Genomic DNA, 18,140 nt, shown 5'->3' with positions numbered 1-18,140 from the left:
TGCTGGTACTTTCGTCTTTCCAGCCTCCAGAACTGTGAGAAAATAAATGTCTATCATTTCAGCCATGCAGTATTTTATCATGGCACCCTGCACAAAGACAGGTAAGGAGTATGGCCACTTAAAACATTAAGAAGTCATCATAACCAAACTGTCAACAAAACAATCATCCACTATAACAAGACAAATCCCTTTGTGTTGATCTTTTTCTCAGTTCTCAATTATCAGCTTGGGCTAACCAAGCATTCTACCCAGAATTAGATGGATAATACAACTTTCAAAGTTTAGACATAAGCTTTAATCTAATTCTTATTGGATATGAGCCCATCCAAAGGTGGAAAATATGTTCAAATATTCTATTCTAGATATTGTAAGTAGTCTCTTTTGTTTTTTCTTTTTTTTGAGACAGAGTCTTGCTCTGTTGCCCAGGCTGGAGTGCAGTGGCACACTTTTGGCCCACTGGAACTTCCGCCTGCTGGGTTCAAGCTATTCTCCTGCCTTATCCTCCCAACCAGCTGGGACTACAGGCACGTGCCACCATGCCCGGCTAATTTTTGTATTTTTAGTAGAGACGGGGTTTCACCATGTTGGCCAGGCAGGTCTGGAACTCCTGACCTCAGATGATCTGCCCGCCTCAGCTTCCCAAAGTGTGAGGATTACAGGGGTGAGCCACTGCACCCGGCTATAAATAGTCTCTTAATAGATTTCCTACATCATTGATAAAAACCAAACTAAGGCCGCGCATGGTGGCTGACACCTGTAATCCTCACACTATGGGAGGCTGAGACGGGCTGATTGCTTGAGCCCAGGAGTTCAAGACTAGTCTGGGTAACATGGCGAAACCCCGTCTCTACCAAAAATACAAAAACTGAGGTGGGAGGATCACCTGAGCCTGGGGAGGTCAGGGTTACCACTGCACTCCAGCCTCTGCAACAGGGTGAGACCCCATCTCAAAAACAACAACAACAACAACAACAAAATCAGCGAACATTTGGACATCGGTAACATGAAGTATATTTTACTTGTGTGGTATCTCAGTTAAAATTACTTCAATTTCAGGCCAGGTGTGGTGGCACGCACCTGTAGTCCCAGCTACTCGGGAGGCTGAGGCGGGAGAATGACATGAACCCGGGAGGCAGAGCTTGTAGTAAGCCGAGACGGTGCCACTGCACTCCAGCCTGGGCAACAGAGCGAGACTCTGTCTCAAAAAAATAATAATAAAAATAAAAATAAATAAAAATAAAATAACCTCAATTTCACTCTTAGCAACACATACACACACTTAAAAACCAAGAACCACCACTGAAGTTAGGCAAGAATGGGGGAGGGGAGCTGATATAAAATAGTGATGTGTAAGTGCACTCTACCAAGGAAAGATGATAACAATAAGCAAACTCCCTACCCGTCCAAAGTCCAATAACAAAAGTTATCAGCTTCTAGCACATGAGCCATGGCCTCCAGGCTCTGAATGGGTTGTTTCAAGCCTTTCAAAATGAAAAGTTATAAATCAGTGTTGACAGAAATCCATATCCTCAGAAGGTACCCAATACCTGAATAAATCCACTCTTACTCTGGGAAGTTCTTAGCGGGAAGGTTAACTCTGTAGTGAGAAAATACTTTCCTGACCAAGAAGATACACAGAGCTAGCATGAAGCTATATTTAATGTTTGACCAGGGGTCTGCTGGGTTGGAAAATGTGAACATCTTCCAGTGGTAAACTGAACTCCACCCCAGAGGGGAAAAATGCAGGCCAAGAACACGGAGGAAGATTACACTAACTGGCTTAGAAGAGGAAGAAAAGCAACCCCAGCATCCTCAGGTTGCAGGTAGAGAAGGGGAAAAAGAGACTATCAAACCACTTCAGCTTAAACTAGAACACCTGCAAGGCAGTAGAAAGGTTTGCTATGCATTGCTTCAACCACTAAAAAAGAAGAAAGGGACACTGATCAAAACACAAATTTGGCCAAGTGCGGTGGCTCACGCCTGTAATCCCAGCACTTTGGGAGGCTGAGGAGGGCGGTGGATCACCTGAGGCCAGGAGTTTGAGACCAGCCTGGCCAACATGGTGAAACCTCCTCTCTACTAAGAAAGAAAAAAAAATACAAAAAATTAGCCGGGCGTGGTGGTGAGTGCCTGTAATCCCAGCTACTCCAGAGGCTGAGGTAGGAGAATTGCTTGAACCCAGGAGACGGAGGTTGCAGTGGGCTAAGATCGGGCCACTGCACTCCGGCCTGGGTGACAGAGCAAGACTCTGTCTCCAAAAAGCAAAAGAACAAAACACACACACACACAAATTCACTCCCTCTGGTAAAAGTAGACTCACTTGCATAATTTTATAGGCGAATTTGAAACACAAGCAGCAACATTTAGATGTGCTGCTTTTTTCCTAATGCTTAATTATAACCTCAGCCTTATTCGATGTAATTGCGCCCAGAATTCTGTATCTGTACCTTTCCAATAATATTCACCATCACTACTAATTTTTAAAAAAGACATATTGGCCGGGCGCAGTGGCTCATGCCTGTAATCCCTACTAAAAATACAAAAAAATTAGCTGGGTGTGGTGGTGGGCGCCTGTAGTCCCAGCTACTTGGGAGGCTGAGGGAGGAGAATGGTGTGAACCCAGGAGGCGGAGCTTGCAGTGAGCCGAGATCGTGCCACTGCACTCCAGCCTGCGCGACAGAGCGAGACTCTGTCTCAAAAAAATAAATAAATAAAAGACATATTAACAAGTATTGATTTCCAGTGACTCAAGTTTTCACATCTCAGCATCTAAGTTATGATAATAGCAATATTAATTGTTTTCTCAGGCAATGTATTGGAATGTTTATAAATACTGGTTCATTTAAAAGGCCCTGGGAAGATAAGAGATCTATTTTCTTGGCTTCATCCATGACCAGCCTCGCCCACAGCAAGTGCTCATTAAATGTTTGTTTATTGAATGACTGTTGACTAAATAAACTTTTCCTTGATTTTTAACATTTGTGGCTGATTTCACTATGTTAACCTTCAGCAACTTGTAATTTGTAGATGTAGTAAGTTCTTATTAATTGAGCTTATAAGAAGTGGCATAACTTAATGTTGAATAAATCTCATGATAAAGACTTATTGGTTATTTTGCTGGTTTGGTTTTGTTTGTATTTTGGCTAATTGAAACACATACAGTTGAAAGAAATACACTGCTTTAAAATACTAAAAAAAAAAAAAAAAAGTGGCTGGGTGCAATGGCTCATGCCTGTAATCCCAGCACTTTGGCACTTTGGGAGGCTGAGACAGGCAGATCACCTGAGGTCAGGAGTTAGAGACCAGCCTGACCAACACCGTGAAACCCCGTCTCTACTAAAAATACAAAAATTTCCTGCGCATGGTGGCGGGCACCTGTAATCCCAGCTACTCGGGAGGCTGAGGCAGAAGAATTGCGTGAACCCAGGAGGCAGAGGTTGCAGTAAGCAGAGATCACGCCATTACACTCCAGCCTGGGCAACAAAAACAAAATTCCGTCTCAAAAAGAAAAAAACAAAAACAAAAAATGTTTTTCACTAATTTACAATGACTTTTCCTTTCTTTTTCTTTTTTCTTTCTTTTTTTTTTTTTTTTTTTGAGACAGGGTCTCACTCTTATTGCACAGGCTAGAGTACAGTGGCGTGATCTTGGCTCACTGCATCATCTCTCAGGCTCAGGTGATTCTCCCATCTCAGCTTCCTGGGTAGCTGGGGCTACAGGCATGTGCCACCCTGCCCAGCTAATTTTTTGTATTTTTAGTAGAGACAGGGTCTCACTATGTTGCCCAGGTCGGTCTCAAACTCCTGGGCTCAAGCAATCTTCCCACCATGGCCTCCCAAAGTGTTTGGATTATAGGTGTCAGCCACCATGCCCGACCTTTCCTATTCTTTCTACCCCTAGATTACATAATAATATTTTTTTATTTTAATTTTAATTTTATTTTTTTTTGAGATGGAGTCTCACTTTGTTGCCCAGGCTGGAGTGCAGTGGTGTGATCTCAGCTCACTGGAACCTCTGCCTCCCGGGTTCAAGCGATTTTCCCGCCTCAGCCTCCCAAGTAGACGGGATTACAGGCATGCAGTACCACGCCCGGCTAATTTTTTGTATATAGGAAAGACAGGGTTTCACCATGTTGGTCAGGCTGGTCTCGAACTCCTGACCTCAGGTGATCCACCCACCTCCGCCTCCCAAAATGTAATTTTTACTTTCAAGTTGTAGGACTTTTTTTTTTCCCTCCTGCATGCAAATCCCTTATCATATATATTATTTGCAGAACATTTCTTTCCATCTTTTTCATAAATGGTGCTGGAACAATGAGAAATTGACATGCAAAGAAATAAAGCCCTTAATAAAATTTTAAGTTTTTGTTTGTTTGTTTGAGATGGAGTCTCACTGTCATCCAGGCTGGAGTGCAGTGGCGTGATCTGGCTCACTGCAACCTCCGCCTCCTAGGTTCAAGCGATTCTCCTATGTCAGCCTCCCGAGTAGCTGGGATTACAGGCACGTGCCACTGCACCCGGCTAATTTTTGTATTTATTTTTTTTAGTAGAGACGGGGTTTCACCATGTTGGCCATGTACTAAAAATACAAAAATTAGCAGGCATGGTGGTGCATGCCTGTAATCCCAGCTACTCGGGAGGCTGAGGCTGGAGAATTGCTCAAACCTGGGAGGAGGAGGTTGCAGTGAGCTGAAATTGCACCCCTGCCTTCCAGCCTGGGCGACAGAATGAGAATCTGTCTGAAAAAAAAAAAAAGAAAAAAAAGTATCCAAATCAAACCCTTTAACAATTCAATAATAAGCAGACAATCCAACTGAGTAACAGGCTAAAGATCTGAATAGATGTTTCTCCAAAGAAGATATACAAAAATGGACAACAAACCCAGGAAAAGATGTGCAACATCATTAGTCATCAGGGAAACGCAAACCAAAACCACAGTGAGATACCACTTTATACACACTAGATTGGCTATAATTTTTTAAAAGGACATAACAACAAGTGTTGGTGAGGATGTACAGAAACTGAAACCCTCATGCATTGTTGGTAGGAATGTAAAATTGTGCAGTAACGTTGGAAAAGTTTAGCAGTTCTTCAAAATGTTAAACATGGAATTACCATATGACCCAGCAATTCCACTCTTAGGTATATACCCATGAGAAACGAAAACATTATGTCCACACAAATCTCGTACATGAATGTTCGTAGCAGTATTATTTACGATAGCCAAAATGTGAAAACAACCCCAATATCGATCACCTGGTGAATAGATAACATTGGACTACCATTTGGTGATAAAAAGAAACAAAGTAGTGACAGATGTCACATGTGTATGAACACTGAAAATGTGCTAAGTGAAAGAAGCCAGTCACAAAAGACCACATAGATTTCATTTACATGAAGTGTCCAGAAAAGGAAATTTATAGAGATAGCAAATCAAAGAGTGGTTGACAGGGGCTGAGGAGTTTGTAGGGGAAGTGAGGAGTGACTGCTAATGGATGGAGGGTTTCTTTTAGGGGTGATTAAAATGTTCTAAAAGTAGATAATGTGATGTCTACAGATCTGCTTGAATTTACTTAAAAACTATTTATTGTAAATTTTAAATGCATTAAATGTGTAATAATGTAATCTCAATAAAACCGTTTTTTAAAAAAACCTCCTAGGAGGACAGATGTAAGTGTGTGGACTCCCCAGCAGTGTATGTCCCCTCACAAAGGTACTGAAAATTGTTTGAGGGGAAGTATTCATTTCTCCAATTTGAAACAGACAACAATCAAGATTCACAAAAGCTAACTTAAAGTCACCTTTCTTCTTCTTTTTTTTTTTTTTTGAGACAGTCTCGCTCTGTCACCCAGGCTGGAGTGCAGTGGCATGATCTTGGCTCACTGCAACCTCCACCTCCCAGGTTTAAGCGATTCTTGCGCCTCAGCCTCCTGGGTAGGTGGGATTACAGGCACATGCCACCACGCCTGGCTAATTTTTGTATTTTTAGTAGAGATGGAGTTTCACCATGTTGTTCACGCTGGTCTCAAACTCCTGACCTTAAGTGAACTGCCCGCCTCAGCCTCCCAAAGTGCTGGGATTACAGGCATGAGCCACCATGCCCGGCCAAAGTCACCTGTTTTTATAGCTGTTAGCCTAAATGTGTATTTAAAATGCTTGGCAAGTATAATAGAAAGTTCTTAGAAAGGTCAGCTCTTGCCTCCAACTCCCCTTCCCCTTTTCTAAACTGGCAACACACTAGTGTTCAGAGAAAACCAGAAAAATTAAGTTATTTCTTAATGAGTTGTAAGTATTTGTCCGGGAAGATTTAGGAAACTCACTTTTAGTAGAAAATTTATCAGCAAAATCCTTTAAGCATTTTCGATGGGGTTTTCCTCCTCCTCATCACACACACCCACAGAAACCTTGGGGCCTGGCAACAACTAACAAGCAAGTCTATTACACAGATAAACAAAAATTCAAGGAAGGAAAACTAGCTGTTCCTCGGGGTGATAATCTAGAGATGGCTTCAGGACTTCTGGAGGCTCGCATATTTTTCTATCTTCAGCCTCCCAAGAAATAACTGAAGAGCATTTTACATGAAATCACCTAATTATGGTCCCCAGGCTCATTGCCTCTCGGCAGGGCCTTGCTTCCTCAGGTCAAGGCAGACAGATGCTCAACAACAGGACCCAAGCAGAGTGTGGGAAGGACTGGCCAGATCCTGCAGGAGCCTTTGACATGACCCCTTTTCCCTTCTTAAGAAAACCTAGCCTCGGGCAGCCTGGAGCTGATCCTTGTTCCAGGCCCGAAGTCCCTCCCCTATCCCCTTCAGGTAAGGAAGGCTGGCTGACTTTCATCAGCCATCAACAGTGAGCTCTTCACAATTTGGTCTACATGTAAATAGCTTTCTATATAGTAAGGATAACAGTCAGCAAATCCATTAACAGATTCAGCCAAGATCACATCTATTTACAAGTGTTTCTTGACTGCCTGACACAACCCCAGGACTACGGAAAGCTGGTACACAGCGCTACCTACACCTCCCTGGAATCTCCAACTGAGAGAAGGAACCAGAGGGGATACATGTGAGGATACACCACCATCCACCCCAATGCTCACCCTCTGCCATTCTCAAAATCCTGGTGACACCGTTCACTACGTCATTTGCTGTGTGCCACCTGCCAGGCATTATGTCAGCGCCTCTATATGCATTCTTCCATTCTAGTCCGGCAACAAATCTCAGTGTTATTCTTCTCAATTGACAGAAAAACACCTTAGTCTGTTCAAGCTGCCGTAACACTATAAACTAGGTGGCTTATAAATAACAGAAATTTATTCTGGAGGCTGGCAAGCCCAAGATCAAGGCCCCGGCGGGTTGAGTGTCAACAGTCACTTTCTGGTTCACAGATGGTGTCTTCTGACTGCGTCCTTACATGGTAGAAGGGGCAAATGAGCTCTCTTGGGCCTCTTTTATGAAGGCACTAATCCCATTCATGAGGGCTCTAATTTGATGATGATTTGATGACCTAATCAGCTCCCAAAAGGCCCCACTTCCCAATACCACCACCTTGAGGGTTAGGATTTCAACATATGAATTAGGGGGCACATAAACATTCGATCATAGTAAACACATTCAGTGAAAATAAGTAACTCATCCAAGGCCACACAGCTAACACACATGGTAGAGCTGTGATGGGACACCACATCCTTGAAGCCAAATCACAGAAGACAGAAGGTGCCAATACTGAGACTGTGCTGTCAGCAGGAAGCTCACCTTCCAGGACAATGCTAGAAGTCCAGAGCTTTCCCTTGTGAAAAGAGAGGCTCCAGCCCGGCGCACTGGCTCATGCCTGTAATCCCAGCAGTTTGGGAGGATGAGGTGGGCGGATCACTTGCGGTCAGGCGTTCGAGACCAGCCTGGTCAACATGGTGAAACCCCATCTCTACTAAAAATACAAAAAAACTAGCTGGGCATGGTAACACGTGCCTGTAATCCCAGCTATGTGGGAGGCTGAGGTAGGAGAATCACTTGAACCCAGGAGGCGGATGTTGCTGTGATCATGCCAGGATCATGCCACTGCGCTCCAGCCTGGGCGACAGAGCAAAACTCCATCTCAAAACAAACAAACAAAGAGGCCAGGCGCGGTGGTTCACACCTGTAATCCCAGCACTTTGGGAGGCCGAGGCAGGCAGATCATGAGGTCAGGAGATTGAAACCATCCTGGCTAACATGGTGAAACCCCGTCTATACTAAAATACAAAAAAAATAGCTGGGGGTGGTGGCGGGCGCCTATAGTCCCAGCTACTCGGGAGGCTGAGGCAGGAGAATGGCGTGTACCCAGGAGGTGGAGCTTGCAGTGAGCCGAGATCGCCACTGCACTCCAGCCTGGGTGACAGAGCGAGACTCCGTCTCAAACAAACAAAGAAAAAAAACAAAAAAAAAAAAAAAAAAGAAGAGAGGCTCCATCTATCCTTAAGAAGGATCCCAAAGCCGTCCTGGATGACCTGTCTGGTGAGTTCCCACATATTTGAAGGAAACTGCCCCCCAGAGCTAGGAAAGGTTTGGCTGGAAAAGGGTTGGCTCAGGAAGCTCTCAGCATCCACACACTATGTGCAAGCATCACTTTGCCATGTGACAGGGGAGCACAGTTCACACCAAACAACGCACACCAGTGGTACTGCGCCTCTAAGGACAGCCAGTCCAGAGCTTACAGACAATCAGGGGTGGAAGGTGGGAAGCTGCCTTCAAAGGAAAAGGCAGTAGAGCAGCTGTCAGAAAAGCTTTCTGCACCAAATCCCTGAAGCACTCACTTTCACTCAACAGCTGCAACAGGAGTGCCCTGGGCGTGTCAGCATTTTATTTAAGCCATCTCTTGTCCTTTGTCCGTCCCTGGCAACTGGCTGGAGGAGCCTAATCTACCAGTGCTCCTTCCTAATGTCCTGAAGCCTAGCTTTACAGCTGTATATCCACTTTTATCACTGGCCATTTATTATGTGCAGTTACCTGATAAAGTGGTAGAAGCAGATAATCCTACAGAGGCAAGAATGGTCTAACAGATTTGAAGCAAGCCAGCTCTGGATCCGACCATACTCTGTACTTTTGGTATAATTCATATGAGTTCATCACTAAACAAAATGCCTGTAATATAGTTGGCTCCAGGGAGGAGACAAATGATGAGTGTCCACCCTCTAGACGGGGAGAGAAAAGATACACAAAACTGGCTGGGTGCGGTGGCTCATGCCTGTAATCCCAGCACTTTGGGAGGCCAAGGTGGTCAGATCACCTGAGGTCAGGAGTTTTGAGACCAGGCTGGCCAACACGGTGAAACCCAGCCAAAAAATAAAAATACAAAAAAATTAGCCAGATGTGATGGCAGGCACCTGTAATCCCAGCTACTCAGGAGGCTGAGGCAGGAGAATTGCTTGAACCTGGGAGGTAGAGGTTGCAGTGAGCTGAGATTTCACCACTGCACCCCAGCCTGGACAACAGAGACAGACTCCGTCTCAAAAAAAAAAAGCCAACAGTCAAACAAAATGAGACCTTATATCATCTGCATGTTTCATGTTTCATATGCGTCTCTTCTGTACTTAACTAGACTGATTTGTTGGTTGTTGGAAACTTTCTGCATGCTACTTCTTTTTCTGCCCTATCCCCAGAAAAAGAGAATATTTTCACATCAATAGGAAGCACTCAGTGATGCTGGGGGACAGAGAGATTCAACTCCAGTGACAACTGGGATCTCAAGTGCAACTTCGGCCAGTGATTCTTCCGAACACACATCACTTGCGACTTATATTTGAACATCAGACAACACAGGGAATAACAGAGGTGTGTACAACACTCTGAGGGCTGAGAGGACAAAGGGATCATACTGGCTGGCTAGTTAAGTTCCACAGAGAAGATGAAAACCAGTCCAGGCTGTCCACAGACTCTAGGAGCAGAACACAATTTTCACACTGTGGTAAGAGATACTCGAGGTTTACTTTCTCAGGAATATCTTCCCCATCAGCCTGACATACTCCTGGTGCCCTAAATTTCAAGATTTGAGTTAGTTCACTGATTTAGGTGCTAATTCAAAAAGTATTTTTAAATATAAATATGTTTCTGCAGCAGGAAAAAAAATAGTTTAACCTTTTATTTTTCACGAGTGATGTATAGACACATTTTAAAGAAAAAAAAAAACTCACCAGATCCCCACCCTACATCCAGAGATCTCATTTGAGTAACATTTAAGAAAATAAAATGATTTTATTGCGCTTTCAGCTGTAAAGTATTGCTATAAAAGAAGTTTTCTTTGTAACTGGTTTTTGAGACAGAGTCTGTCACCTAGGCTGGAGTGCAATGGCACAATCATGGCTCACTGCAGCCTTGACCTCCCAGGCTCAAGCAATCCTCCCACCTCAGCCTCCCAAGTAGCTGGAACCACAGGTGCATGGCACCATGCCTGGCTAATTTTTAAATTTTTTTGTAGAGACTGGGTCTATGTTGCCAGAGCTGGTCTCGAACTCCTGAACTCAAGCAATATTCCCACCTTGGCCTCTGGTGAAGTGCTGTGATTACAGCCATGAGCCATAGCACTCAGCCAGTAAAATAAGATTATTGTAACACACACAATTTTAAAAATTCGTATGTATCTCTAAAGACTCAGAAACCCTTGTTTGAGAAACAGAACTTTAACCTGTTTAACAGTCTCTCTGGATTTAATATCCAGCCCTTAGCACAGGGCTTGGCACATAGCAGCAGTTCACTAAACTTTTTCTGAGCGGATGAATTCTATCTGGGGAAAGGAGCTGGGTAAAGTCCAAGGTTTAAAACATTGCTGAGGTGGGTGAGCCCAAGACCTAGGCACTAAACTGTGACCCTAGGTAGGTGGATATTTCACACACACACATACACACACACACACACACACACACACACACACACACACACACACGAGAGTATCAAATAGGAATCTGATGAGGCAATAAAGTCACCTAGGATGAGCTAACTCTGCCAGCAGTTACCCCCAAGAAACCAGCTGACATGGACTCTCAAGTCTCTACCCCACCTCACAGTTACATGCCTAGAGTAGTGTATTTATTTTTTACCTTTCCGTCACAATACCTGGGAGGTGTCAGAGAGGGTCACGTGCAAGCATGGTCCAATGGAGAATGCCAGGATCTGAAGTCAGCCAGCTCTGGATCCTACTGTTCCCAAGTCTGTGTCCTTGGGCACAATTCTTAAAATTCCAACCTGCAGCTTCCACATGGGCAAAGTGGAACAAATCGCTATTGCATAGTGTGGCTGGGGGGGTTACAGTGAGAATGTATGAAAAAGCCCTGGCACATCGCTGGAGCTTAGTAAAGCCAGTTCCCCAACAGAGGCTGAAACATGGCACCTATTATCTACAGCCATGAAGAAAGGACAGAGGCAGGGTGGGGAAAAGGCTACGCTGCTCAGGCATCAACATAATAACACTGTCTTTTGGAAGGGGTGGGAGCAGACAGAGGGAGGAAGGGAAAAGGTAGAGGCGCCTTCATGAGGGAGGTATGTGTATTTTGTGGCTGAGTGAAAAAACGAGGAAGGGGATTTACAATATGTTCATGTAAGGCTCTGGGCAGAATTTAAAGTCACTCTATCAGCTCAGCCAAATGAGAAGATCCTCTTTCTGACAAATCCCAACAGAAGACATGTCAGTGAGCTAAAAGTATCTTGGTATCTTCTTCCATCTGGGCTGCTATCACAAAATATCATAGGCTGGGTAGCTTATGAACAGTAGAAATGTATTTCTCACAGTTCTGGGGCCAGGAAGGCCAAGATCAAGGTACTGGCAGTACCTGGTGAGAGGTCATTCATAGATGGCTGTCTTCCAGCTGTATCCTCACATGACAGAGGAGATAAGGAGTCTTTCTCAGGCCTCATTCATAATGGCACTCATCCCATTCATGAGAGCTCTACCCTCCAACCTAAGTGCCTCCAAAAAGCCCCACCTCCTGATACCCTCAACCTTCAGGGTTAGGATTTCAACAAATGGACTGTAGGGGGACAAAAACATTCAGTCCATTGCACTTGGCAAAAGAAAGAAAGGGCGGCCAGGCACGGTGGCTCACGCCTGTAATCCTAGCACTTTGGGAGGCCGAGGAGGGCAGATCACGAGGTTAGGAGTTTGAGACCAGCCTGGCCAACATGGTGAAATCCCGTCTCTACTAAAAATACAAAAATTAGGTGGGCGTGGTGGCGGGTGCCTGTAATCCCAGCTACTCGGGAGGCTGAGGCAGAACAATCAGCTGAACCCAGGAGGCGGAGGTTGCGGTGAGCCGAGATCATGCTATGGCAACTCCAGCCTGGGCCATGGGGTGAGACTCCATCAAGGGAAGGGAAGGGAAGGGAAAGGGAAAGGAGAGCAAGACTGGGACAAGATTGAGAAAATGAGGTAACAAACTCCAGAATAACTGTCTAGCACTTGAACAACCCTTTGGTTCCCCTTCTGGGGCATTTCCCTCGTGCAGCATTGGGCTGAGGATACAGCCATACTTACGACATTATCTTTCAACCCTTCAGGTCACACCAGCTCACCCCAAACTTAATTTTAGACTATAGAAAAACCAGAATAAAATGAAGTCAGGACACACGCTAATTATAACCATGTTATAAGTGTACATGCGGACAGGGGTCTGGAAGCGCTTGGAAAAGCAAAATATACTTGGTATGTACTGAGTGGTGGGATTGAAGAGAATTTTCCCTTTAAAGATTATTTTTTTAAAGTAATTCTGATCTTAAATTAGTGCAATACATAAAAGCTGGAAGGGAAAAAAACATCAAGAACGGCCCTATCTCCTTGATGTCACTCAGCCCACAGCAGGAAAATCTGGACTGAGACCACTGTTGAAATCCTACACCCCACCGTGCCAGGCTTCCAGTCCATTCAAGAGTACACCAGATGCAGCTGCAGCTGCAGCTGTGGCCAGAGCTTAGGGGAATGAAAGGTTGAAGACTAAATGTCTTTTGGTCGAAACTTCAGTGCAAATTCCACTAATATAGAGCACCCTTAAAATGCAATGTGCTGGCCGAGCACGGTGGCTCACGTCTGTAACCCCAGCACTTTGGGAGGCTGAGATGAGTGGATCACCTGTGGTCAGGAGTTCAAGACCAGCCTAGCCAACATGGTGAAACCCTGTCTCTAATAAAAATCCAAAAAAAAAAAAAAAAAAAAAAAAAAGCTGGGCGTGGTGGCGCATGCCTGTAATCCCAGCTACTCGGGAAGGTGAGGCAGGAGAATCACTTGAACCCGGGAGGTGGAGGTTGCAGTGAGCCAAGATTGCACCATTGCACTTCAGCCTGGGCTACAAGAGTGAAACTCCGTCTCAAAATAAATAAATAAATAAATAAATAAATAAATGTGCTGATTATCAGACCAAACCCAGGAATTTCTGTACAACTTCATGTGAACAAATGTCTAAGCCAATTTTTTCTAACTAGTCTGAAATTTTTAGTAACTGTAGCACACAGACACATACATACACAATCCCTGCTGAGAAACTAAACAGTCCCCAGTATAAGAAGAATAGAATAAGAGCCTACACAAGGTGATTTATACTTTAAGACAGACTTAGACATAGCTGATCGCTACATTTATTCCACCGGAAAATCTCTTTATACTCATGGAAATTCATTATCCACCTGTTTTTTTTGTCTTTTTGTTTGTTTTGAGACAGAGTCTCGCTCTGTCACCCAGGCTGGACTGCAGTGATGCAATCTCAGCTCACTGTAACCTCTGCCTCCCAGGTTCAAGTGATTCTCGTGCCTCAGCCCTCCTGAGTAGCTGGGACTACAAGTGTGGACCACCACGTGTGGCTAATTTTTGTTTTTTGTAGAGACGGGTTTTCACCATGTTGCCCAGGCTGGTCTTGAACTCCTGGGGTCAAGCAATCCGCCCACCTTGGTCTCCCAAAGTGCTGAGATTACAGGCACGAGCCACCGCGCCCAGCCAGGTTTTTGTTTTTAAATGCGAACCACAATCAATGGCAGGCTAAGCAGTAACGTGGGGACAGGATGGTCTCAAGGACTGCTGCTATCTATGGTCTTCACCAAGATGTGATTCTGCCAAGGCCTACACAAACAACCCTCACAAGGGCAAGGGCGAAAGGTCCTGGTCAGTGGGTACAAGTTTAATAGTTTCAAGATTATCCAAAAAAATATTCTTTCTTGGAGAAATAAGCCAAGACAGGAAAAAGAAAAGCTTAGTTTTTGTCTGCTTCCCTCTAGGAAAACCCTCCCTTGCCCTCTCCATTGCTCCTCCCACGCCACACTTTGTTCACACCTGTTTCAGCACCCATGCTGTAGCACTGCGTGTGTCTACACACCTGTCTCCACCGTCAGGCTGTGAGCTCCATAAGAAACTAGGCCCAGCTGGGCACAGTGGCACACACCTGTAATCCCAGCACTTTAGGAGGCCGAGGCAGGAGGACTGCTGGAGCCCAGAAGTTCAAAACCAGCCTTAGCAACATAGTGAGACCCCCCCCGCCCACCCACAATACAAAAAATTAGCCGGGTGTGGTGGTGCACACCTGTTGACCTAGCTACTCGGGAGGATGAGGTGGGAGGATCACTTGAGTCCGGGATGTCGAGGCTGCAGTGAGCTGTGGTCTCGCCACTGCACTCCAGCCTGGGTGACAGGGCAAGACTCCCCTACACCACCCCCGCCACAAAAGAAACTAGGCCCACTACACCTGTGTACCCCAAACTCAGGCACAGCCTGGCACACAGTAGATGCCCAACCTGCCCTGTTGTTCTTGGATCATCCTGGTTTAAACTGGTTATCCCAGCCTAATTATCAGTGCTCTCCTTCACTCTCAGAGGTGCCCTGTGTGTGCAATAAATCCTATGATCACCCTGTCAGTAAACAGTAAATACATCTTGCTCTTGGTTTATGAGTCTTATTTTTAAGATCATGTCCTTTGACCTGCTGTGGTTATTGCTGGTCAGCAGAGCAATAGGTACATTAGGGAGCTGGGTAGATAGACCTTGAGGAGAAGGTAATCCAGAAATTAGTTTTGTTAAGAGTTTGGGGCCAGGCACAGTGTCTCATGCCTGTAATCCCAGCACTTTGGGAGGCTGAGGCAGGAGAAATGCTTGAACCCCAGGAGTTCAAGGCCAGCCTGGGCATCATTATGAGACATCTCTACAAAAAATAAAAAAAATTAGCCAGGCATGGTGGTGCACACCTGTGGTCACAGCTACTCAGGAGGCTGAGGCAGAAGGATTGTCAGAGCCTGGGAGGTTGAAGCTGCAGTGAGCTATGATCGCACTACTGCAGTCCAGCCTGGGCAACAGGGTGAGACCCTGTCCCCCCGCAAAAAAAAAGAAGGCATGACTGGTAGAGGTAGCTTGGATTTGTCACAGCAGATTTCCTAACTATCTCATTAACCCTTTGGTAACAGTATCAGTCTTCACTCTCCTTGGCTCCACTGAGCACACTGGCATGATCTGGGCACAGGGTGAGGCTGGCAATGGCTAAAATGTATTGGGAGCAGTGGGGAAAGCTCTGCTCGGATTGACAGCGTTGGTGAGCATTCACCATTCCACCCTGGACCTCCCTGCCTCGGTGGCTCAGTACCCTGCCCACAATGCCACTTCTCCAGTGCCCTTAGAAATGGAAAAACCGGCCGGGCATGGTGGCTCATGCCTGTAATCCCAACACTTTGGGAGGCAGAGGCGGGCGGATCACCTGAGATCAGGAGTTCGAGATCAGCCTGACCAACATGGAGAAACCTCGTCTCTACTAAAAATACAAAATTAGCTGGGCGTGGTGGCACATGCCTATAATCCCAGCTGTAAGGGAGGCTGAGGGAGGAGAATCACTTGAACCTGGGAGGCGAAGTTGCGGTGAGCCGAGACCATGCCACTGCATTCCAGCCTGGGCAACAAGAATGAAACTTTGTCTCAAAAAATAAATAAAAATAAAAATACAAAAATTAGCCGGGCATGGTGGCACATGTCTATAGCCCCAGCTACTCAGGAGGCTGAGGCAGGAGAATCACTTGAATCCAGGAGGCTGAGATGGCAGTGAGCCGAGATCGCGCCATTGCACTCCAGCCTGGGCGACAGAGCGAGACTCCGTCTCAAAAAAAAAAAAAAAAAAAAAAAAAAAGGAAAAACCCCTGAGCTTTGCTTACAATCCTCCAGGATGAGAGGAAGCAGCGAGAATGAGAAGGTGAGGTTGGAGCTGGAGCCAATTAAGGCACTCAGCTCAGGGTTCTGGTTGATACGGTGCGGCAAGGGGCGTGTTAATACGGTTGCCAGACGCACTGACAGCATCGGAATTATCCAAGTGGATGCCATTTGTCCTGGGGTCTGGCCTTTTTACAGGGTATGAAAGATAGACTAGGACCACAAGTCTCCACAGGTCCTTCTCTGCTTCTAATTGCCACAGACAGGGCCATGCAAAGGCGGCCAAGAGGGAGGGGAGTTACTGTTTCCACCTGTCTGGCCTGTTTCCTCTGGTTCCAGAGAAACTCCTCCTTGGATTTAGGGGCCCACAGGGACTTCCCAACTCTCGCCACTCATTAAGCCTGTTTGATTTAAAAGGAGAAGATTAAATACACAGCCCACAGCCAAGATTCCAGATGTTAAGCCAGCCTTCTCTTTGTGGTTGGGGTCCCCTGCTAAGTAGTACTAGCAATTAACATCTAAAGCTGGGTTCTGAGGGGCTGGAGTCAGGGAAGAAGGGGCCCTGGCTCTAGGCCCGGCTCGGCTGTTTTTATTAGTCCACGATCTGAACCATTCATTTGGTTTCTTCATTTTTCCCTACCGGGAATCGACCCTCTACCAAACCTCTGTCCCTTGTGAGCAGGCTGTGAAAATCAAAGGGGGTTAAAGAGTTATTTTGCAAAAGTATTAAAAAGCCACCACAGAACTGCGCTGTCCAATACCATACACCCTCACCACATGCTGCTATTTAAACCTAATTAAAATGAAAAATTCAATTCTTGGGTCATGTGCGTCACATTTCACACGTGGCTAGTGGCTGCCGTATTGGCCACCTCACAGAAAGAACACCGCCATCGCCCATTAAGTTTTATTGGACAGTGCTGCTCCACAGCTTCTCTTGGATTTCTCTCCACAAAAAAAAAAAAAAAAAAATCACAAAAAAGAACAACCCAGCCTTGTCAATGCTCAGGAGGGCAATGTTTCTTACGGTTTTGTTTGTTTGTTTTGGTGGGGGTGGGGGGGTGTTTGTTTTTGCTTTTGGAGGGGGGACAGTGTCTCACTCTGTCGCCCAGGCTGGAGTGCAGTGACACTATCTGGGCTCACTGCAACCTCTGCCCCCCCGGGTTCAAGCAATTCTCCTGCCTCAATCTCCCGAGTAGCTGAGATTACAAGGTGTGCACTACCACACCCGGCTAATTTTTGTACATTTAGTAGAGACGGGGGTTTCACCATGTTGGCCAAGCTGGTCTCGAACTCCTGACCTCAAAAGATCTGCCCACCTCAGCCTCCCAGAAGTATTGGGATTACAAGCGTGAGCCACTGCACCCGGCCCCCGTGTGTCTTAATGCCTCCAAGAAGAGGAGTCCCTTACTCGGACACAGTAAGGCCACCACCAGGCCCTCTTTCAAATTCTAGAAAGATGACACTTAAAGCAAGTGTTGGCGAGTAAAGGGCTTTTCCCCCTTGGCTCCCACTGCCTTTATACTCAGATGGCCCTTTCAGACCTAATCTATTATTTACACAGTCCTACTTTTAAGAGAATGCATTTCAAACATTTTCTCAACAGGAGTGTGAGGTCTGTGCAAAGCCAGGGTCCAGGACAACCAATCACTTCCCTCCTGTTGGCCTGACAGGCCTTTCTGAACAGCACCAGAAAATGGCCAACTTGAACTATTTAACAAAACAAAAGGACACAGTCCTCCCCTGGCCAAGTGTTAAAAGCATTCCAAAAGAAAAGGCCGAAACAGAAGCTCCTCCCCTCCAATCTGTTCCTCATCTGTCCAGGGATTTATTGGCTCTCGCACTAAATTAATCAATTGCCAAAAGAGAGCTAAAACCACGGCTCCAATGTAAATACTTCTTGGTAACAATCCCTCAGCGTGACACTTCAGATTTCAAGTGGCTGGGTGGCCTTCCAAACGCCTCATTAAATAGCAACTTTATAGCATTAAGAGGAAAAGGCTCTG

At 45.6% G+C, this 18,140-nt stretch overlaps 1 protein-coding gene across 6 annotated transcripts in view, besides 3 other annotated features; it reads right to left on the bottom strand.

The window, feature by feature from the left end:
- Positions 1 to 18,140, bottom strand: part of PDZD2 (PDZ domain containing 2) — a 471,802-nt gene that overhangs the window by 203,691 nt on the left and 249,971 nt on the right. The gene's annotated exons all lie outside the window — the stretch shown is intronic.
- Positions 13,856 to 14,357: an enhancer, noted in NCBI's record as "H3K4me1 hESC enhancer chr5:31892991-31893492 (GRCh37/hg19 assembly coordinates)". NCBI's record gives its function as "activates a minimal SCP1, AML or CMV promoter by ChIP-STARR-seq in naive H9 embryonic stem cells {active_cell/tissue: H9 hESC(naive)}" and the evidence as "EXISTENCE:reporter gene assay evidence [ECO:0000049][PMID:30033119]".
- Positions 17,043 to 17,544: an enhancer, noted in NCBI's record as "NANOG-H3K27ac hESC enhancer chr5:31889804-31890305 (GRCh37/hg19 assembly coordinates)". NCBI's record gives its function as "activates a minimal SCP1, AML or CMV promoter by ChIP-STARR-seq in naive H9 embryonic stem cells {active_cell/tissue: H9 hESC(naive)}" and the evidence as "EXISTENCE:reporter gene assay evidence [ECO:0000049][PMID:30033119]".
- Positions 17,545 to 18,047: an enhancer, noted in NCBI's record as "NANOG-H3K27ac hESC enhancer chr5:31889301-31889803 (GRCh37/hg19 assembly coordinates)". NCBI's record gives its function as "activates a minimal SCP1, AML or CMV promoter by ChIP-STARR-seq in naive H9 embryonic stem cells {active_cell/tissue: H9 hESC(naive)}" and the evidence as "EXISTENCE:reporter gene assay evidence [ECO:0000049][PMID:30033119]".

This window comes from Homo sapiens, chromosome 5 (genome assembly GCF_000001405.40).
Source record: "Homo sapiens chromosome 5, GRCh38.p14 Primary Assembly".
NCBI classification, from domain to species: Eukaryota; Metazoa; Chordata; class Mammalia; order Primates; family Hominidae; genus Homo; species Homo sapiens.
The sequence above is the reverse complement of the archived record's forward strand: the minus strand, read 5'-3'. Positions and strand labels throughout refer to the sequence as shown.